At 41.7% G+C, this 22,742-nt stretch overlaps 1 protein-coding gene across 3 annotated transcripts in view, besides 1 other annotated feature; it reads left to right on the forward strand.

The window, feature by feature from the left end:
- FGD4 (FYVE, RhoGEF and PH domain containing 4) overlaps nucleotides 1–22,742 on the forward strand; it is a 246,493-nt gene that overhangs the window by 21,674 nt on the left and 202,077 nt on the right. The gene's annotated exons all lie outside the window — the stretch shown is intronic.
- Nucleotides 16,194–16,693: an enhancer, noted in NCBI's record as "H3K27ac hESC enhancer chr12:32590359-32590858 (GRCh37/hg19 assembly coordinates)". NCBI's record gives its function as "activates a minimal SCP1, AML or CMV promoter by ChIP-STARR-seq in naive H9 embryonic stem cells {active_cell/tissue: H9 hESC(naive)}" and the evidence as "EXISTENCE:reporter gene assay evidence [ECO:0000049][PMID:30033119]".

Here is a 22,742-nt window from a genome sequence, read left to right on the forward strand (position 1 = left end):
CAAACTAAATAACATCAGTGGTACTCAGCTTTCCTTGTGTGTCTACACCATTCATATACTCGCATCAGCAATGTGTAGCAATTTTGTGCTGGGGTGTATTAGAGAATAGTATACTTTTTGTTCTCTTTGAGTATTCATGGACTGGACTTTCTTTATGTCCCTTTTAGTTTAACAGTTCCAATTTTCTTGGCATCCTTTCTGATGTTGTCGTAGGGCCTTATTTCAAGAGCATGCTGGTCTGTAGGATCTGGCTGCTCCTCCACTGAAAGCCCCCAGAATGCTTTGTTACATTGTCAGGAATTTCTGTATTTCTTTTATCTTGTAGCTTTCTCTATCATATCCCATTTCCACTGTCCTCTCTTCTTTCACAGCCATTTTCTTCCTCTTTCTTTGCTCATTGTTTTTTCATTATTAGGACTTGGCTTTTTAGGTCAAGACTCCTGATAAAAGGACTCCTTTCTTCTGCTGTTGCCTTACCAGTCACATATGTGGTGCTGTCTCTAGTGGGCTTTGCTTTAAAAGCAAAAAACAAAAAACCAACAACAACAAAAGCAAAACAAAAGCAGCTATGCATGTTTAGAAACTGGATTTTAGTTCACAGCTTGTATAGAAAAAGATGAGACTATAGGCCGGGCGCAGTGGCTCACGTCTATAATCCCAGCACTTTGGGAGGCTGAGGCAGGCGGATCATGAGGTCAGGAGATCGAGACCATCCTGGCCAACGCGGTGAAACCCTGTCTCTACTAAAAAAAAATACAAAATATTAGCCGGGTGTGGTGGCGGGCACCTGTAGTCCCAGCTACTCGGGAGGCTGAGGCAGGAGAATGGCGTGAACCCGGGAGGCTGAGCTTGCAGTGAGCCGAAATCATGCCACTACACTCCAGTGTGGGCGACAGAATGAGACTCTGTCTCAAAAAAAAAAAAAGAAAAAGATGAGACTATAAAACATCTGATGCTTGGAATATTGCTGTTACTGTTTTCCATCTCTTAATCTATTTCATTCAATCTAAAATGTGCATTTTTTTTTCACATTGAAGCATCTCAAATTGGGAGCTGCTTTTTTTTTTTTTTTTTTTTTTTTTTTTGAGACAGAGTCTCGCTTTGTCACCCAGGCTGGAGTGCAGTGGTGGGATCTCGGTTCACTACAAGCTCCGCTTCCCGAGTTCACGCCATTCTCCTGCCTCAGCCTCCCAAGTAGCTGGGACTACAGGCGCCCGCCACCATGCCTGGCTAATTTTTTGTATTTTTAGTAGAGATGGGGTTTCACCATGTTAGCCAGGATGGTCTCGATCTCCTGACGTTGTGATCCACCCGCCTCAGCCTCCCAAATTGGGAGCTTCTTAAATTGGCAGTATTTTAAAAATTATGTGACATTGAAATGTAGATTGGCCTAAATTTTAAAATGTAGTTGCACAGTATTTACTGCCTCTAGATAATAGTTTATTAAATACTCTCCCAGACTATATAACTGAGAAAATACACTAACAAATTCCCCTCCCCCTTTTCTAAATTAAAAACATAGTATATATGAATATCATTTTCATATATCTTGCTACTTCCTTAGCCTTCTTAATTATAAACTTGAGTCAGCTATTATTTACTGAGTACTTACATTTTAGATGCTGTTCTAAGTGCTCCACATGTATAAACTTGCTTAGTCATCACGAGTGGGAACTATTACCCTCATCGTACAGAAGAGGAAGCAGAAGCCCATAAAGTTTAAATACTTTCTCCAAGTTCACATGGCTAGTAGGTGGGGGAGTGACGATTTAAACCCCTGCTCTTAATCTCTGTACTTTTCTGTCTGATGTAAATTTCTTATTGCCCTTTTTTTAATATCACTGAACTTGAGGATATTGTTTATCTTTAGCAATGGAAAAATCATTTCCTCCTGATATTCTTTATCCAGTTTGTCTAAAGTCTAAAAAACAAAACAACTCTTTGGTTTATTACTGGGTGAACCCCAAAATTGGGATTCGGCCAGAGAGGCCACATGGGTTCTCGGCTTCCTCCAGGAAAGAATTCAAGAACAAGCTGACAGTAAAGTGAAATCATGTTTATTAAGAAAGTTAAGGAATAGGCCAGCACGGTGACTCACACCTGTAATCCCAGCACTTTGGGAGGCCGAGGCGGGCAGATCACTAGGTGAGGAGATCGAGACCATCCTGGCCAACATGGTTAAACCCCATCTCTATTAAAAAATACAAAAAATTAGCCGGGCGTGGTGGCAGGCGCCTGTAATCCCAGCTACTTGGGAGGCCGAGGCAGGAGAATTGCTTGAACCCGGGAGGCGAAGCTTGCAGTGAGCCGAGATCACGCCACTGCATTCCAGCCTGGGCAACAGAGTGAGACTTCATCTCAAAAAAAAAAAAAAAAAAAGAAAGAAAGTGAAGGAATAAATAAAAGGCTGGCTACTCCATAGGCAGAGCAGCCCCATGGGCTGCTGGTTGACTATTTTTATGGTTATCTTTGATCACATGCTAAGCAAGGGATGCATTATTCATGAGTTTTCCAGGAAAGAAGCTGGTAGTTCCTGGAACCAAGAGTTCTTCCCATTTTTAGACAATATAGAGTAATTTCCAGGAGTTGCCAGCATCTGTAAATTTACTGTCATGGCACTGGTGGGAGTGTTTTTTTTTTTTTCTTTTTCTTTTTGTCCACCTTTTCCCTACTTCTACCATTCTATTCTCTACTTCCATGAATTTGACTTTTCTAAATTCCACACATAAGCTGAGATCATACTGTATTTGTCTTTCTGTGCCTAGCTCATTTGACTTAACATAATGTTCTCTAGGTTCATCCATGCTGTTGCAAATGACAGAATTTCCTGCTATTTATTTATTTATTTTTTGTTATACTTTAAGTTCTGGGATACATGTGCAGAACATGCAGGTTTGTTCCATAGGTATACACGTGCCATGGTGGTTTGCTGCATCCATCAACCCGTCATCTACATTAGGTATTTCTTCTAATGCTATCCCTCCCCTAGCCCCCAACCCCCTAACAGGCCCCGGTATGTGATGTTCCCCTCCCTGTGTCCATGTGTTCTCATTGTACAACTCCCATATATGAGTGAGAACATGCGGTGTTTGGTTTTCCGTTCCTGTGTTAGTTTGCTGAAGACGATTGTTTCTAGCTTCATCCATGTCCCTGCAAAGGACATGAACTCATTCTTTTTTTATGGCTGCATAGTATTCCATGGTGTATATGTGTCACATTTTCTTTATCCAGTCTATCATTGATGGACATTTGGGTTGGTTCCAAGTCTTTGCTATTGTGAATAGTGCTGCAGTCAACATATGTGTGCATGTGTCTTTATAGTGGAATGATTTATAATCCTTTGGGTATATGCCCGATAATGGGATTGCTGGGTCAAACAGTATTTCTGGTCCTAGATTTTTGAGAAATAGCCATACTGTCTTCCACAATGGTTGAACTAATTTACACTCCCACCAACAGTGTAAAAGCATTCCTATTTCTCCACATCCTCTCCAGCATCTGTTGTTTCCTGACTTTTTAATGAATGCTATTCTAACTGGTGTGAGATGGTATCTCACTGTGGTTTTGATTTCCATTTCTCTAATGACCAGTGATGATGAGCTTTTTTTCATATGTTTGTTGCCTGCATAAATGTCTTCTTTAGAGAAGTGTCTGTTCATATCCTTTGCCCACTTTTTGATGGGGTTGTTTGTTTTTTTCTTGTAAATTTGTTTAAGTTCTTTGTAGATTCTGGATATTAGCCCTGTGTCAGATGGAGAGATTGCAGAAATTTTCTCCCATTCTGTAGGTTGCCTGTTCACTCTGATGATAGTTTCTTTTGCTGTGCAGAAGCTCTTTAGTTTAATTAGATCTTATTTGTCAATTTTGGCTTTTGTTGCCATTGCTTTTGGTATTTTAGTCATAAAGTCTTTGCCCATGCCTATGTCCTGAATGGTATTGCTTAGGTTTTCTTCTAGGGCTTTTAAGGTTTTAGGTCTTACATTTAAGTTTTTAATCCATCTTGAGTCATTTTTTGTATAAGGTGTAAGGAAGCAGTCCAGTTTCAGTTTTCTGCATATGGCTAGCCAGTTTTCCCAACACCCATTTATTAAATAGGGAATCCTTTCCCCATTGCTTGTTTTTGTCAGGTTTATCAAAGATCAGATGGTTGTAGGTGTGTGGCGTTATTTCTGAGGTCTCTGTTCTGTTCTATTAGTCTATATATCTGTTTCAGTACCAGTACCATGCTGTTTTGGTTACTGTAGCCTTGCAGTACAGTTTGAAGTCAGGTAGCACGATGCCTCCAGCTTTGTTCTTTTGCTTAGGATTGTCTTGGCTATATGAGTTCTTTTTTGGTTCCATATGAAATTTAAAGTAGTTTTTTCTAATTCTGTGAAGAAAGTCAGTGGTAGTTTGATGGGGATAGCATTGAATGTGTAAATTACTTCGGGCAGTATGGCCATTTTCACGATAGTGATTCTTCCTATCCATGAGAATGGAATGTTTTTCCATTTGTTTGTGTCCTCTCTTATTTCCTTGAGCAGTGGTTTGTAGTTCTCCTTGAAGGGGAGAACTTCACATTTCTTGTAAGATGTATTCCTAGGTATTTTATTCTCTTTAGCAGTTGTGAATGGGAATTCACTCATGATTTGGCTCTCTGTTATTGGTGTATAGGAATGCTTGTGATTTTTGCACATTGATTTTGTATCCTGAGACTCTGCTGAAGTTGCTTATCAGCTTAAGGAGATTTGGAGCTGAGATGCTGGGTTTTCTAAATATACAATCATGTCATGTGCAAACAGAGACAATTTGACTTCCTCTCTTCCTATTTGAATACCCTTTATTTCCTTCTCTTGCCTGATTGCCCTGGCCAGAACTTCCAATACTATGTTGAATAGGAGTGGTAAGAGAGGGCATCCTTGTGTTGTGCCAGTTTTCAAAGGGAATGCTTCCAGCTTTTGCCCATTCAGTATAATATTAGTTGTGGATTTGTCATAAACAGCTCTTATTATTTTGAGACACATTCCATCAATACCTAGTTTATTGAGAGTTTTTAGCATAAAGGGGTGTTGAATTTTATCGAAGGCCTTTTCTGCATATATTGAGATAATCATGTGGTTTTTGTCGTTGGTTCTGTTTATGTGATGGATTACGTTTATTGATTTAAGTATGTTGAACCAGGCTTGCATCCCAGGGATGAAGCCGATTTGATTGTAGTGGATAAGCTTTTTGATGTGCTGCTGGATTCGGTTTACTAGTATTTTATTGAGGATTTTCGCATCGATGTTCATCAGGGATATTGGCCTGAAATTTTCTTTTTTTGTTGTGTCTCTGCCAGGTTTTGGTGTCAGGATGATGCTGGCCTCATAAAATGAGTTAGGGGGGATTCCCTCTTTTTCTGTTGTTTGGAATAGTTTCGGAAGGAATGGTACCAGCTCCTCTTTGTACCTCTGGTAGAGTTCAGCTGTGACTCTGTCTGGTCCTGGGCTTTTTTTGGTTGGTAGTCTATTAATTACTGCCTCAATTTCAGAACTTATTATTGGTCTATTCAGGAATTCGACTTATTCCTGGTGTAGTCTTGGGAGGGTGTATGTGTCCAGGAATTTATCAATTTCTTCTAGATTTTATAGTTTATTTGCATAGAGGTGTTTATAGTATTCTCTGATGGTAGTTTGTATTTCTGTGGGATCAGTGGTGATATCCCCTTTATCATTTTTTATTCTGTCTATCTGATTCTTCTTTCTTTTCTTCTTTCTTAGTCTGGCTAGTGGTCTATTTTGTTAATCTTTTAAAAAAAACCAGCTCCTGGATTTATTGATTTTTTTTTTCATGGTTTTTTGTTTCTCTGTCTCCTTCAGTTCTGCTCTGATCTTAGTTATTTCTTGTCTTCTGCTAGCTTTTGAATTTATTTGCTCTTGCTTCTCTAGTTCTTTTAATTGTGATTTTAGGGTGTCGATTTTAGATCTTTCCCACTTTCTCCTGTAGGCATTTAATGCTATGAATTTCCCTCTAAACACTGCTTTAGCTGCATCGCAGAGATTCTGGTACGTTGTTTCTTTGTTCTCATGGGTTTCAAAGAACTTATTTATTTCTGCCTTAATTTCGTTATTTACCCAGTAGTCATTCAGGAGTAGGTTGTTCGGTTTCCATGTAGTTGTGCAGTTTTGAGTGAGTTTCTTAATCCTGAGTTCTAATTTGATTGCGCTGTAGTCTGAAAGACTATTTGTTATGATTTCCATTCTTTTGCATTTGCTGAGGAGTATTTTATTTCCAAATATGTGGTCAATTTTAGAATAAGTGAGATGTGGTGCTGAGAAGAATGTATATTCTGTTGATTTGGGGTAGAGAGTTCTGTAGATGTCTATTAGGTCTGCTTGGTCCAGAGCTGAGTTCAAGTCCTGAATATCCTTGTTAATTTTCTGTCTTGATCTGTCTAATATTGACAGTGGGGTGTTAAAGTCTCCCACTATTATTGTGTAGGAGTCTAAGTCTCTTTGTAGGTCGCTAAGAACTTGCTTTATGAATCTGGGTGCTCCTGTATTGGGTGCATATATATTTAAGATAGTTAGCTCTTCTTGTTGAATTGATCCCTTTACCATTATGTAATGGCCTTCTTTGTCTCTCTTGATCTTTGTTGGTTTAAAGTCTGTTTTATCAGAGACTAGGATTGCAACTCCTGCTTTTTTTTGCTTTCCATTTCCTTGATAAATATTCCTGCATCCCTTTATTTTGAGCCTATGCGTGTCTTTGCATGTGAGATGGATCTCCTGAATACAGCACACCAATGGGTCTTGACTCTTTATCTAATTTGCCAGTCTGTGTCTTTTAATTGGGGCATTTAGCCTGTTTACATTTAAGGTTAGTATTGTTATGTGTGAATTTGATCCTGTCATTATGATGCTGGCTGGTTATTTTGCCCATTAGTTGATGCAGTTTCTTCATAGTATCAATGGTCTTTACAATTTGGTATGTTTTTGCAGTGGCTGGTACCAGTTGTTGCTTTCCAGATTTAGTGCTTCCTTCAGGAGCTCTTGTAAGGCAGGCCTGGTGGTGACAAAATCTCTCAGCATTTGCTTGTCTGTAAAGGATTTTATTTCTCCTTTGCTTATGAAGCTTAGTTTGGCTGGATATGAAATTCTGAGTTGAAAATTCTTTACTTTAAGAATGTTGAATGTTGGTCCCCACTCTTCTTCTGGCTTGTAGGGTTTCTGCAGAGAGATCTGCTATTAGTCTGATGGGCTTTCCTTTGTGGGTAACCCAACCTTTCTTTCTGTCTGCCCTTAACATTTTTTCCCTCAGTTCAACCTTGGAGAATCTGATAATTATGTGTCTTGGGGTCGCTCTTCTCGAGGAGTATCTTTATGGTGTTCTCTGTGTTTCCTGAATTTGAATGTTGGCCTGCCTTGCTAGGTTGGGGAAGTTCTCCTGGATAATATCCTGAAGAGTGTTTTTCAACTTGGTTCAGTTCTCCCCATCACTTTCAGGTACATCAATCAAACGTAGCTTTGGTCTTTTTAATAGTCCCATATTTCTTTAATCTTGTCTTGTGCTTTATTTCATTAAGTTGTCTTCAATCTCTGATGTCCTTTCTTCCGTGTGATTGATTCAGCTATGGATACTTGTTATGCTTCACAAAGTTCTCATGCTGTATTTTTCACCTCCATCAGGTCATTTATGTTCTTCTCTAAACTAGTTATTCTAGTTAGCAATTCCTCTAACCTTTTTTCAAGGTTCTTAGCTTCCTTGCATTGGGTTAGAACATGTTCCTTTAGCTCAGAGGAGTTTTTTATCACCCACCTTCTGAAGCCTACTTCTGTCAATTCATCACACTTATTTTCCATCCAGTTTTATTCCCTTGCTGGTGAGGAGTTGTGATCCTTCAGAGAAGAGGTGTTCTGGTTTTTGGAATTTTCAGTCTTTTTGCTCTGGTTTTTCCTCATCTTCATGAATTTATCTACCTTTGGTCTTTGATGTTGGTGACCTTCGGATGGGGTTTCTATGTGAACATCTTTTTTGTTGATGTTGATGCTATTCATTTCTGTTTGTTAGTTTTCCTTCTAACAGTCAGGGTCCTCTGCTGCAGGTCTGCTGGAGTTTGCTGGAGGTCCATTCCAGACCCTGTTTGCCTGGGTATCACCAGTGGAGGCTTCAGAACAGCAAAGATTGCTCCCTCTTCCTTCCTCTGGAAGCTTCGTCCCAGAGGGGCACCCTCCACATGCCAGACAGAGCTCTCCTGTACAAGGTGTCTGTTGACCCCTGCTGGGAGGTATCTCCCAATCAGGAGGCACGGGGGTAAGGGACCCATTTGAGGAGGCAGTCTGTCCCTTAGCAGGGCTCAAGCGCTTTGCTGGGAGATCTGCTGCTCTCTTCAGAGCTGGCAGGCAGGAACTTTTAAGTTTGCTGAAGCTTTGCCCACAGCTGCCCTTTCCCCCAGGTGCTCTGTCCCAGGGAGATGGGAGTTTAAACCCCTGACTGGGGCTGCTGCCTTTCTTTCAGAGATGCTTTGTACAGATAGGAGAAATCTAGAGAGGCAGTCTGGCTGCTGGGAGTGTCTTTTAGCATGCTAATTAGCATACATAATTATAATTAGCTATAATTAGCAGTGAGGACAACCAGAGGTCTCTTTTGTTGCCATCTTGGTTTTGGTGGGTTTTGGCCTGCTTCTTACCATGTTTTATCAGCAAGGTCTTTGTGACCTGCATCTTGTTGAAACGAGTCCTGCCAAATTCCTATCAGGTTTACTGTAGTTAATGAGGCCAAAAAAAAAAAAGGACATTTTCAAGGAGAAACAGAAACATTATTAGAAAAGATTCTGGGCTGGGCGCGCTGGCTTATGCCTGTAATCCCAGCACTTTGGGAGGCTGAGGCAGGCAGATCACCTGAGGTCAGGAGTTTGGGACTAGCCTGGCCAACATGGTGAAATCCCGTTTCTACTAAAAATACAAAAATTAGCCGGGTGTGGTAGCAGGCATCTGTAATTCCAGCTACTTGGGAGACTGAGGCAGGAGAATTGCTTGAACCTGGGAGGGGCAGGTTGCAGTGAGCTGAGATTGCACCACTGTGCTCCAGCCTTGGTGATAAAGTGAGACTCTGTCTCAAAAAAGAAAAAAAAAAGGAAAGAAGAGATTCTGGAGGTAGAAACAAGAAATAGTTTCCTGATCTTTGCTGGGCAACCGTACTTTTGGTAATACTTGATTAACTCAAATCCTCTATTGCTTTCTAGGAACTTGTTTGACTAGATTATATCGTATATCATTAGCAGGGTGACAGTTACCTACTAAATTTTGAAGTTATATGAATAATCTTTATTTTCAAGAATCTTATGAATTTTATATGTTCTGCAAAAACAGGTAAAACTTCATTCCTCTTTTACTCTATTTAAAAAAACTGTAATGGATGGATATATATAATTGCGTGTGTGTAAAAGTAATATTAATATATCAATATCATGATCTTACTGGTATATGTTTTTCTAAGAGAATTTTTCTAAGAGAATTAGGTAAGCCTTTCCCCACTCTTTTAACATCTTAGTATAATAAAAAATTGAGTGAGAGTATTCACACCCAGAGATACTGTCCAAAGTAGAAGAACTAGCTTCAAGACTGGGAACTGACTAGGGTGCTAATTAGAGCCCCTCTGTAGTCCTTTTATAGAAAATGGTAAACTCAGGCCATTGCCTATGAAAACATTGAAAAGAAGGGAAGGAGGAGAAGGGTTCTGGAGGAAGCAAGGAGGAAACTGCCAATGATGGTAGTCATTGTTCTGAAGTCAGTTTGGTGCCCAATCTAAGCTGATTTTCATTGAGAGCTAATGTCCATTTCCAGGTTTTGGAACTGAATGAACAACTGGTATGTTTTCGTTAACCTGGGAGATTCTCTGTAGCCACAAAATGAGCATTGGAGAGGTCGAAAAAAGGAATAGAAAATTAAAAATCATATAACTCCCACTTGTAGAGAGCAGCTGTCATCATATAATGTCATGAATCCTCTCTGATTAGCTGGCAGCAGATGTGTTAGGTGCTTCTCTGCCTCTTGATTATAGCCCCTTTCTGTAAACTTCCGGGAAAATTATATTGGCGGCAATTGCGTGTATCACTGATACATGCAAAAGCCCTTATTTCAGGATATCCACTTTTTCAGATCTTTTGTCAATTGTCCATTTCTGGCATAGGTCCTGAGTCCCAGTGTAATTTATACTTTTTTTCGTTTGGAAAAGGGTTTTTTATTCTCACTCCTTGTTTTGAGTCTCAAAGCTAGTTGCTTACACTCAGTTCGTGCAAATGCTGTAGTGGCATATTTAGAAGATAGGCTTTGTGTGGACTTTTGGAAAAGTTTAATAGTTTATGTCTGCATGTTTTTCTTTATCTAATCTCCCCTCAACCTGTCCCCAACAAATACATTAAGAAAATAATTTCTGGGCCGGGCGCAGTGGCTCACACCTGTAATCCTGGCACTTGGGAGGCTGAGGCGGGTAGATCACTTGAGCCTGGGAGGTGGAGGTTGCAGTGAGCCAAGATTGTGCCACTGCACTCCAGCCTGCGTGACAGAGCAAGATTCTGTCTTAAAAAAAAAAAAAGAAAATAATTCCCCTTTTTTTCTTCTAATATTTTCTCCTTGCTCATGAGTTAATTGATACAATTACACAAATAGAATTTTATGGTAAACCTGAAAGGTGTGACTAATATGAAGTTTCAGATATTTGAAACCTTTTAAGTTTTAAAAAGTATTGAGCTCATCTCCTTTGAGCCTTTACTTAAACGGATCTTCTGGCCGTCTCTGGGCACCTTATTTAAAATTGGGAGCCCTGGTTGGGCACAGTGGCTCATGCCTGTAATCCTAGCATTTTTTTTTTTTTTTTTTTTTTTTTTTAGACAGAGTCTCGCTCTGTTGCCCAGGCTGGAGTGTAGTGGCCTGATCTTGGCTCACTGCAAGCTCTGCCTCCTGGGTTCACACCATTCTCCTGCCTCAGTCTCCCCAGCAGCTGGGACTACAGGCGCCCACCACCATGCCCAGCTAATTTTTTGTATTTTTTAGTAAAGGTGGGGTTTCACCATGTTAGCCAGGATGGTCTTGATCTCCTGACCTCGTGATCCGCCTGCCTCGGCCTCCCAAAGGGCTGGGATTACAGGCGTGAGCCACCGCGCCCGACCAATCCTAGCATTTTGGGACGCCGAGGCGGGTGGATCACTTGAGGTCAGGATTTCGAGACCAGCCTGGCCAACATGGTGAAACCCCATTTCTACTGAAAATACAAAAGTTAGCTGGGCATGATGGCACACTCCTGTAATCCCAGCTACTCAGGAGGCTGAGATTGAACCCAGGAGGCGGAGGTTGCAGTGAGCCAAGATCGCGCCACTGCACTCCAGCCTGGGTGACAGAGCAAGACTCCATCTCAAAAAAAAAAAAAAAGGTAGTAATAGGGGTTGGCCCTTCATTTTATAAAGTTGAGAGCATTATATACAGAGAAGGGTTCTTCATCACTTTTTTAGTCATTTGGTGAATCCCTTTAACATGAACGTGAACCTTCATGTTAACATTGTAAGAGCAGTGACTATACCTGTCTTGTTCTTTGCTGTCTCTCCAACACCTAGAAGAGTTCCTGGCTCATATTATTTGTTAAATTAATTGAATGAGTGAGTGACTGAAATCCTGTTGAGTGCTAATTTTCAAAATACATATTTTAATGCCAGCTCAATATATAAAAACCTAGTTTACATAGAAACTTTATCACCTTCTTGCCCCTTTAATATTTTCTTTGCCTGGTTTCCATATTTTTCTGGAATAAGATTTTTTTTTTTTTATTTTGAGACAAGGTCTCACTCTGTCGCCCAGGCTGGAGTACAGTGGCACAATCTTACCTCACTGCAACCTCCACCTCCCTGGTTCAAGCAATTCTCATGCCTCAGCCTCCGAAAAAGCTGAGACTACAGGTGTGCACCACCACACCTCGCTAATTTTTGTATTTTTAGTAGAGATTGGGTTTCCCCATGTTGGCCAAGCTGGAATCGAACTCCTGGCCTCAAGTTACTCACCTGCCTCGGCTTCCTAAAGTGCTGGGATTGAGCCACCATGCCCAGCCTGGAATAAGATACTTTAACATAAATTTCCTTGTCAGCTGATTCACTTTAAAAATACATTTTTCTTTTTTTTTCTTTTTGAGTCGGAGTCTTGCTCTTTCACCCAGGCTGGAGTTCAGTGGCTCAGTTTCGGCTCACTGCAACCTCTGCCTCCCAGGTTCAAGCGATTCTCCTGCCTCAGCCTCCCGAGTAGCTGGGATTACAGGCACCTGCCATCATTTTTGTATTTTTGTAGAGACGGGGTTTCACCATGTTGGCCAGGCTGGTCTTGAACTCCTGACCTCAGGTGATCCGCCCACCTCGGCCTCCCAAAGTGCTGGGATTATAAGCATGAGCCACCGCACCTGGCCTAAAAGTGCATTTTTTTAATGTAGCTTTCAAAAGTACATGTTTTATGTAACGAAGCATCCTCTAATTCTAGCTATTGAAGTTAGCCATATCACTGTTAATTGTTGCTTTGAGACAAAGTTACATCTTTAAAATTTTGTATCATGGGATGCAATGAAACATCCTTCTGTAAAGCAAAGGGATTGACTACCTGATAATATATTTACTTATTTATTTATTTATTTATTATTATTATTTTTTGAGACGGAGTCTTGCTCTGTCGCCAGGCTGGAGTGCAGTGGCGTGATCTTGGCTCACTGCGACCTCCGCCTTCTGGGTTCAAGCGATTCTTCTGCCTCAGCCTCCCGAGTAGCTAGGACTACAGGCATGCACCACCACGCCCAGCTAATTTTTGTATTTTTAGTAGAGATGGGGTTTCACCATGATAGCCAGGATGGTCTTGATCTCCTGACCTCGTGATCCGCCCGCCTCAGCCTCCCAAAGTGCTGGGATTACAGGCATGAACCACTGTGCCCGGCCTGATAATATATTTAAACCTGAATTGCACAACAAGCTGGGCCTTCCCCTTGATTTTCTAAGTTCCTCACAGACCCTGTCTGTTCCTAGCTCTTTTATGATGTTCTAAAACTTTGTCGCTGCTTATAAAATGGAGGAGAGACTTACTGGTAATTTGTTCTGTGTGAGTTTGCATTAGATGCTTCTAATTCATAGAAAAGTTGATTATCCTGTGATTGGAGAACGAAGACTCAGGTGAGCAGTAATAGTTTTAAATACAGTTTTTTACAGCTAGAATATTGAAAATAGTTTCTTTCTCCCTTCAAGTTGGATAAATTTTGTACACACGAAAAATAAGTTTGAATTTGTAGGCTAAATTCATTTCTTAGCTCCTTAGAAATGTTAGGCCTTTTCAAAGAGGAAAGCCTTAATTACACTGTATTCCTCAGGAAGGTTATTTCCTTCATGTAAATTATGACTTTTGTGATTCCAGTAGCTCTGTGATTTCTTCATGAATGTCATTAACTTAATTGCCTTCTCATTGCTTTATGCTAGAAAAATGGGAATGTGCTTTAAACTTTTGTAGATATTGACATTTAGAACATGGTTAACTTGTTAACAAGGTACACATTTATTCTGATGCAAAAATCTACACAATGTGTTGAGGCACCATATGATGTTTTGACCAGATTTTGTCAGTGTGCTATATATGAGTCAGAGGATTGAATAAGATGAAAAAAATCAAATATAGTGGTGAATGATACAAATTTCTTTTCTGAGAGGAGCAGCTTCGCTTCATTTCTTTTCTTTCCTTCTTTTCTTTTTTTTTTCTTTTCTTTTCTTTCTTTTTTTTGCCCAGGCTGGAGTGCAGTGGCACAGTCTTGGCTCACCGCTACCTCTGCCTCCCGGGTTCAAGTGATTCTCCTGTCTCAGCCTCCCGAGTAGCTGGGATTACAGGCATGCGCCACCACGCCTGGCTAATTTTGTATTTTTAATAGAGATGGAGTTTCTCCATGTTTGTCAGGCTGGTCTCGAACTCCCGACTTCAGGTGATCCGCCCACCTTGGCCTCCCAAAGTGCTGGGATTGATTACAGGTGTGAGCCACCGTGCCTGGCCACTTCATTTCTTTAAAGTGAAATGAAACTAGTTGAGAGATCTAGCTCAGGAGTTAGACAGGCCTGGGTTCAAATGCTGCCTCTGCTAATTCACAGATTTGGGTGAGTCAGTTTCTCTCAGGCTGTTTATTTATAAAATCAGGATAATCAAAGGTCTCATTTCAGAAGTTATGAAGGATTAAATAGAGTAATGCTCATAAAATGATATATTTACATATTCAGTACTCAATAAATGCTAGCTACAATTAAAAAAGTGTGTGTGTGTGTGTGTGTTTTAAATGACTAAGTTGGAATTGGCCTTTTTTTTGTGGTTTCCATCATTCGAACTTATTTTATTGATACTCATTAGCGAATATAATTTTGTTGATTTTTTTGGTGCATTATGACACTTTTTGTTAGTGATTACACAATGTTGATCATTTATTTATTTATTGTACTAAATACTGCAACCTCTGAATTGCCAATTTTTACATGGTATTTCTGGCAGTGATGGGTGGCCCCGCTTTCTGATTACATAAAATGGTCCATCTAGTCCATGGTTTTCATATTCCTTTGTAATTCTACTTACTGCTTTAAAATTCATTCAAATAAAAAGATCTAAGTTACTTGCAGTGAGTGAGTGCCCAAATGCAACAGCAAGGAGAGCTGAGAACATAACTAACCAATACTTTCGTGTTCAAAGAATAAATACTCTGAAACAGTGGGACAGAAGCTTGCTCCTTAGGGACTTTCTCAAAGTACCCTTGGTGGACATAAGGTTATCCTCACTCAACGGAAGGACATATCTGCTGTCGGGGGAGGACACAGAATGACGATTTCATTTACCTAGGATATTTTCCTTCTGTAAATGTCTGGAACAAGTTGTCACTGGACACCGTGATGTACAGTGTAGCCCTCCTATTAGAATAAATAAATTATGTGGTTGGACTGGAATGCTACAGGCACACTATGACTGGAAGTGGAAGGAGAGAGAATGTTTATTTAAAATACAGCACACATAAATAATAAATAAAAGTTTAAAACTTAATCAGCAACAGCAACAGGACCAGCCTCCCCTGTTCCATTTATGGTTCTTTTCAGGAACACCTGTATCTTTTCCTAAGGATAAAAAGTGGCACAAGGAGACAAAAGGCTTTGGAAGGAAAGAAAATACTTTGTTGTGACTTTGTGCTTTTCTGAAACAAGAAGGCAAAACATGTGGGCATTGAATGGCTGCAATAAAAGACTGCACAGTGTCCACACATTGGCAAGCCTCAGGTTTCAGAGGAAGCACTGGAGCCAGCAGAATGCCAAAGCCTTGTTTCTCCCTTGAACCAGTTTGGTGTTACGCCTGGTTGTGCTTCTCCCGCTTTACTTTTACTGTTGATAAATTTCTTAATAAGCTTTTTCCCTATCCCTTTTCCCTTTAATCCTATCGTTAAAGGTGTCTTGGGTCTGGTCTTAAATCAATTTGGTTATGACACTAGGTCCCAGAAAAAAAGCTGCTATCTCATTAGCAGCTTGGTGTGTTGGAAATTCATGTTTGAACCACACAGTGAACCTACACTACCAGTACCATTACTTCCCTGCATATAAAAAACAAAAAATGGGGGCCAGGCATGGTGGCTCATGCCTGTAATCCCAGCAATTTGGGAGGCCAAGGCAGGTGGATAGCTTGAGATCAGGAGTTCGAGACCAGCCTGGCCAACATGGTGAAACCCTGTCTCTACTAAAATTAGCCAGGCATGGTGGCGGGCGCCTGTAGTCCCAGCTATGTGGGAGGCTAAGGCAGGAGAATTGCTTGAACCTGGGAGGTGAAGTTTGCAGTGAGCCGAGATTGCACCACTGCACCCCAGTCTGGGTGACAGAGTGGGACTCCATGTCAAAAAAAAAAAAAAAAGGGAAAAAGAAAACAAATCACACAGAACATGAAGGGGCTGCTGAACAATGCAGCAGGAATGTAAATACATTCTCTTTCGGGTCAGACGTTTGGCCAGACGGCTGATTACAAAACATAGGATGACTTCAAGCTGAAGGTATGAAAACAAAAGGTTACACCTCAAAACAGAAATGACTGTTCATTGAGGCAGAGTAGTGAAGGTCTTGAAGAAGCTGGGACACCCATAAAAGAAAGAAAAGCCCTCTGCTCAGGAAATCCATGTCAGCTACACGTGGCTGAGCACGGAGGCTCTTTATGCTCCCTATACGATGAGCGAGGCGAGGTGTCCAACCGCACCCAGATGTGTTACTGGGCAGCCTGGCCCAGGCCTTTTTAAAGATGTTTGATAAAGCTCATGTAGCAACTACCAGAGCTTCACTACACGGATATCCGTGGTATTCATTGAGTAAAACCAGCAGATTTCACATAAGCAGATGTTTTTATTTGTTCCTAAAGTCTTAGAAAGTAATGTTATATTAACATGTAATATGAATTCCCTGTTACTCTTTGGATGGTTTGCATTTGACCAGTGTCTTTTCATTTTTAGTAAAAGCAAAATTTTTTCTAGACATAATCCTGCTATTGATGTTGAATACTATTTCATCTTACCCTGCATACCACACAATACCACTGATACATTGTATATACCACTGATAACATTCTTGGCCACTGGGAAAATTATTTTTTTACATTGTTATTGGTCTCCTGTGTTGTAGGTAGGACTATGCAGGAATGGATCTTTTCTTTGAGACAGAGTCTTGCTCTGTCACCCAGGCTGGAGTGCAGTGGCGCAATCTCAGCTCACTGCAGGCTCTACTCTCGGGTTCAAGCGATTCTTCTGCCTCAGCCTCCTGAGTAGCTGGGGCTACAGGCATACGCCATCATGTCCGGGTAATTTCTATAGTTTTAGTAGAGACTGGGTTTCGCTGTGTTGGCCAGTCTGGTCTCAAACTCTTGACTTCAAGTGATCCATCTGCCTGGGCCTCCCAAAGTGCTGGGATTATAGGCGTGAGCCACCGCGTCTGGCCAGGAATGGTTCTTGAACCATTTCTTCCCATCTTAGAAAATACTGACTTCTCACTTGCCTTATTGAAATGGTTTGGAGAGGTATAGCATCTAACAATACTGCACTTCCATAGAGCGGACTTGGGATAACAGTTAACTCCTAAGACATCAGCTGAAGATGACAAAGGTAAAAATATCTGCCGTTAAGATAAAGTTGAAAACTCTGTACTTACTGTACTTTATTCAAAATGTTAGCCTTCTCTTAGCAGATTCTTCAATAAGCTTGCTTTTAGGTTTCAACTGCCTTGAGCAGTTGAAATTAGGAGAGGTATGTGAATGTATCTGTAAGTAAGTGGACACAGGAGGATGCTTTTAGTTGTTTTTTTAATTGTCAAATTTTATATACTAGTCACCTAAAACATGTTTTTTGTTTGTTTGTTTGTGTGTGTTTTTTTTTTTGAGATGGAGTCTCGCTCTGTCACCCAGGCTGGAGTGCAGTGGCGCGATCTCAACTGCAACCTCCACCTCCCGGGTTCACGCCAATATCCTGCCTCAGCCTCCTGAGGAGCTGGGACTATAGGAGCCCGCCACCACGCCCAGCTAATTTTCTGTGTTTTTTTTAGTAGAGACGGGGTTTCACCATGTTAGCCAGGATGGTCTCGATCTCCTGACCTCGTGATCCGCCTGCCTTGGCCTCCCAAAGTGCTGGGATTACAGGCGTGAGCCACTGCGCCCGGCCCTACAACATGTTTTAAAATATGAATACGTTGTGGAATGATTCGATCGATTTGACCAGTGTCTTCATTTTTTGATCGAGCTAATTAACATATGTATTACCTCACTTATAATTTACTAATAATTATTATAGATATCATGTTGTACAATAGATCTATTGAACTTATTCTTCCTATCCAACTGAAATTTTGTATCCTTTGACCAAACATTTCCCCAAAACTGCACCCCCAACTCCCAGTGCCTGGTAACTACTATTCTACTCTCAACTTCTATGAGTTTAACTTTTACAGATTCCACATATAGTTGAGATCATGCAGTATTTGTCATTTTGTGTCTGGCTTATAACATAATGCTGTCCAGATTCATCCATCTTGTTACAAATGACATAATTTCTTTATTTTTAAAGGCCGAATAGTATTCCCTTGTGTATCTATGCCACATTTTCTATTCAGCTGTTGCTGAACACTTAGGTTGATTCCATATCTTGGCTATTGTGAATAGTGCTGCAGTGAACATGGGGATGCAGATAACTCTGACATACTGATTTCATTTCCTTTGGATACATACCCAGTTACCCAGTAGTGAGATTGCTGGATTATATGGCCATTCTATTTATAATTTTTTGAAGAACCTTCATACTGTTTCCCATAATGGCTATACTAATTTACATTACTAGCAGCAATGTACAAGATTTCCTTTTTCTCTTTGTCCTTGACCCTTGGGAGTTTATTACATGCCTTGAGGTAGTCTTCTTTGGGTTAAATCTGCTTGGTGTTCTGTAACCTTTTACTTGGATATTGATATCTTTCTCCATGTTTGAGACATTCTTTGTTATTATCCCACTGAATAAACTTTCTGCTCCTATCGCTCTCTCTGCCTCCTCTTTAAGGCCAATAACTTTTAGATTTGCCCTTTTGAGGCTAGTTTCTAGATCCTGTAGGTGTGCTTCATTTTTTTTTTCTTTAGTCTCTTGTGTGTGTTTTCAAATAGCCTATCTTCAGGCTCACTAATTCTTCTGCTTAATCTATTTTGCTAATAAAAGACCCTGATGCCAATTACATTTTTTAGCTCCAGAACTTCTGCATGATTCTTTTTAATTATTTCAATCTCCGTTAAATTTATCAGATAGAATTATCAATTCCTTCTCTATGTTATTTTGAATTTCTTTGAGTTTCCTCAACACGGCTATTGTGAATTCACTGTCTGAAAGGTCACATATCTCTGTTTTTCCAGGATTGGTCCCTGGAGCTTTATTTAGTTCATTTGGTGAGGTCATGTTTCCCTGGATGCCGCTGATGCTCGTAGATGTTCTTCAGTATCTGGGCATTGAAGAGTTAGGTATTTATTGTAGTCTTCCTTGTCTGGGCTTGTTTGTGCCCATCCTTCTTGGGAAGGCTTTTCAGGTATTTGAAAGGATGTGGCTGTTGTGATCTAAGCTGTTTCTGCTTTAGGGGGCACCCCAAGCTCAGTAATGCTGTGGTTCTTGCAGACTCATAGAGGTATAATGCCACCTTGACGATCTTGGACAAGATTCGGCAAAATTATCTGGATCACCGGGCAGAGACTCCTGTTGTCTTCCCTTACTTTCTCCCAAACATACAGAGTCCCTGTCTCTGTTCTGAGCCACATAAAGCTGGGGGTAGAGTGACCCCTGTGACCACCACTATAACTGAACCCCTGTGGCCACTACCACTATGACTACACGGCGTCAGACTTGAAGCCAGGAGAGCACTGGATCTTGCCCAAGGTTTGCTATAACTACTTCCTGGCTGCTGCCTATGTTCGCTCAAGGCCCTGGGTCTCTGCAGTTGGCAAGTGGCTAAACCAGCCAGGCCTGTGCCATTCCCTTCAGGGCGGCAAGGTCCCCCACAGCCAGAAGTCAGGAACTAGAATCAAAAACCTTAGAAGTCTACCTGGTAATCTAGTGTATTGCAGCTGAGCTGGCACTCAAACCACCAGATGCAGTCCTTCCTACTCTTCCCTCCCTTTTCCAAAGGCAGAAGAGCCTCATCCCATAGCCACTGCCACCCCTTGCCACAAAGAGTACTGCCAGACTACTACTGATGTTCCTTTAAGGCCCAAGGTCTCTTAAGTCAGCCTGTGGTGAATGCTGCCTGGCCTGGGACTCACCCTTCAGGGAAGTGGGCTCCCCTCTGGCCTGGGCAGGTCCAGAAATGCCATCCAAGAGTCAGGGTCTGGAACCAGGGACCCCAAGAGCTCGCTTGATGCTCTACCCTCCTGTGGCAGTGTTGGTACCTAAGGTGCAAGATGAAGTCCCCTTTACTTTTCCCTCTGCTTTTCTCAAGCAGCAGTTTTGCCCTGTAGCTGTCACATCTGGTAATGTGCTGAGCCTTGCCTGAAGTCAGCAAGTCTCAGTGGCTACCCAAAGCCCTCAGTGTAGTACCTGGGTATCTCTGCTGGTTATTCAGCGTCTAAAGTCTCTTCACTTTGCTGGTGATGAATGCTGCCAGGACTGGGTCCTTTCCTTCAAGGCAGCGGGTTCCCTTGTGACCCAGGATGTGTCTAGAAGTGTAATCTGGGAACTAGGGCCTGGAACAGGGGCCTCTTGACTCTGGACTGGTGACTCTGACTACGGTGCCCTTTCCTGCTATGGCTAAGCTGGTGTCCAAAATGCAAGATAACGTCCTCCCCGCTTTTTCCTCCTCAAGCAGAAGAAAGGTGTCTCTTTTGGAGCTGCAAGCTGCGCAACCTGGAATTAGGGGAGGGGTAATGCCAGCACTCCCTTGGCTGCACTAGTTTGTATCTTAGTATGTTGCTTGTCCCCCTAGTCCACTGTCTCTGGGCCTAGTTCAGCCCTAGGACTCACCTAGAAGTTGCAGTCCTTGTGACCTAGACTGCCTTTCAAGTTTACTTAGAGACCAAAAGCACTTTGGCCCTAGGTTTGTGGGCACTGGGATTGGCGATTCCCCTCTGGCTAGGGCTGGTTTAAACGCTCCCTCTGTGGGCAGGGGTCTGCTGAGTTTGGTCTGGTTTTCTTTTCTGCTCTAACAGGACAGCACTGAGTTCAATGCCTCAAAATTGTTGTCTTCTCCTCCAGTGTCCAGAGATGCTCTTCACGCCATGCTGCTGCTCTCAGGGTGGGGGAAGGGTGGTGCTGGCAATTCAGGAGTGTTGTTGTGTTTTTTTTTTTTTTTGGTTTTTTTTTTGGAGACGGAGTCTCGCTGTGTCACCCAGGCTGGAGTGCAGTGGTGCAATCTCGGCTCACTGCAACCTCCGCCTCCTGGGTTCAAGTGATTCTCCTGCCTCAGCCTCCCAAGTAGCTGGGACAACAGGCATGTGCCACCACACCTGGCTAATTTTTTGTATTTTTAGTAGAGACGGGGTTTCACCGTGTTAGCCATGATGGTCTTGATCTCCTGACCTTGTGATCCACCCACCTCAGCCCCCCAAAGTGCTGGGATTACAGATGTGAGCCACTGCGCCCGGCCAGGACTGTTTTTTCTGTCTCTTCAGTGCATGTTTCACTGTGATATGAAGTTAAAACCAGGTACTGTGAGTGCTTACCTGACTTTTGGTTCTTATGAAGGTGTTTTTTTCTGTGTAGATTGTTGTTAACTTGGTGTCCTTGTGGTGGGGTGGGGTGATAGATGGAGCTTTCTATTCTGCCATCTTGCTCTGCCTCTCCCATCTTTCATCCTTTTTTTTTTTTTTTTTTTGGAGATGGAGTTTCACTCTGTCTCCAAGGCTGGGGCGCAGTGGTGCGATCTCACTGCAACCTCTGCCTCCCGGGTTCAAGCAATTCTCCTGTCTCAGCCTCCCGAGTAGCTGGGATTACAGGCACACCACCACACCCAGCTAATTTTTTGTATTTTTTGTAGGGACAGAGTTTCACCATGTTGCCCATGCTGGTCTCGAACTCCTGAGCCCAGGTGATCCACCTGCCTAGGCCTTCCAAAGTGTTGGGATTACAGGCATGAGCCACTGTGTCCAGGCTTCCATCTTTTATAGTAGCCATTCTAACAGGTGTGAGATGATAGCTCATTGTGGTCTTAATTTGTGTTTCTCTGATTAATGATGTTGAGCATTTTTCATATATCTGTTGGCCATTTGTTGTCTTGACAGATGTCTATTCAGGTATTTTGCCCATGTTTTAATTTGGTTGTTTTCTTGCTATTAGAGTTGAATTCTTTATGCATTTTGGATTTAACCTCTTACCAGATGTATGGTTAGCAGATATTTCCCCCATTCCATAGGTTGTCTCTTTGCTCTTATTGTTTCCTTGGCTGTGCAGAAGCTTTTTAGTTTGATATAAGTCCATAGTAGGGTGCTTTTAGACATAGGCACAGTAACAGGAGTTATGTCTGACAATCTGACATCAAGAATAGAAAAATTGGCTAGGCCTGTAGTTCCAGCTACTTGAGAAGATTACTTCAGCCCAGGAGTTTGAGTCTAGCCTGGGCAACAGAACAAGACCCCTGGTTTTTTTGGTTTATTGTTGTTTTTAGAGATGGGATCTCATTCTGTCACCTGGGCTAGAGTGCAGTGGTGCAATCATAGCTCACTGTAGCCTTGACCTCCTGGGCTCAAGCAGTCCTCCTGCGTCAGCCTCCTGAGCAGCTGGGACTACAGGCATGCCACTACCATGCCTGGCTGAGATCTTGTGTTTTAGGTTTTTTTTTTTTTTTTTTTTTTGAGGCAGGGTCTTACTCTGTCACCCAGGCTGGAGTGCAGTGGTGCGATCACAGCTCACTGTAGCCTCGAACTCCCAGGCTCAGGTGATCCTCTGGAGTATCTGGGACTACAGGAATGCAGCGCCACACCTAGTGGTGGCGAAACATGGAGAAGCCCTAATTTTTTTGTATATTTTATAGAGATGGGATATCACTATGTTGCCCAGGTTGTCTTTCTCTTTAAAAAAAAAAAGCCAGAATGAAAGTGAATGGTGCAGCCTTCAAGTTCAGTGTTTTGTATTTTATTATGACAATTTTGAAGAAGGAAAAATATTTATTTCAAAGAGCCTAAAACCAAACTCAAGCAATAAGTTGTGATTTTTAAAAAATCGACAGATTTACTTATTTTGAAAAACAATTCTATGGAGATGTAGTTCAC

This window comes from Homo sapiens, chromosome 12, assembly GCF_000001405.40.
Source record: "Homo sapiens chromosome 12, GRCh38.p14 Primary Assembly".
Lineage (NCBI taxonomy): Eukaryota > Metazoa > Chordata > Mammalia > Primates > Hominidae > Homo > Homo sapiens.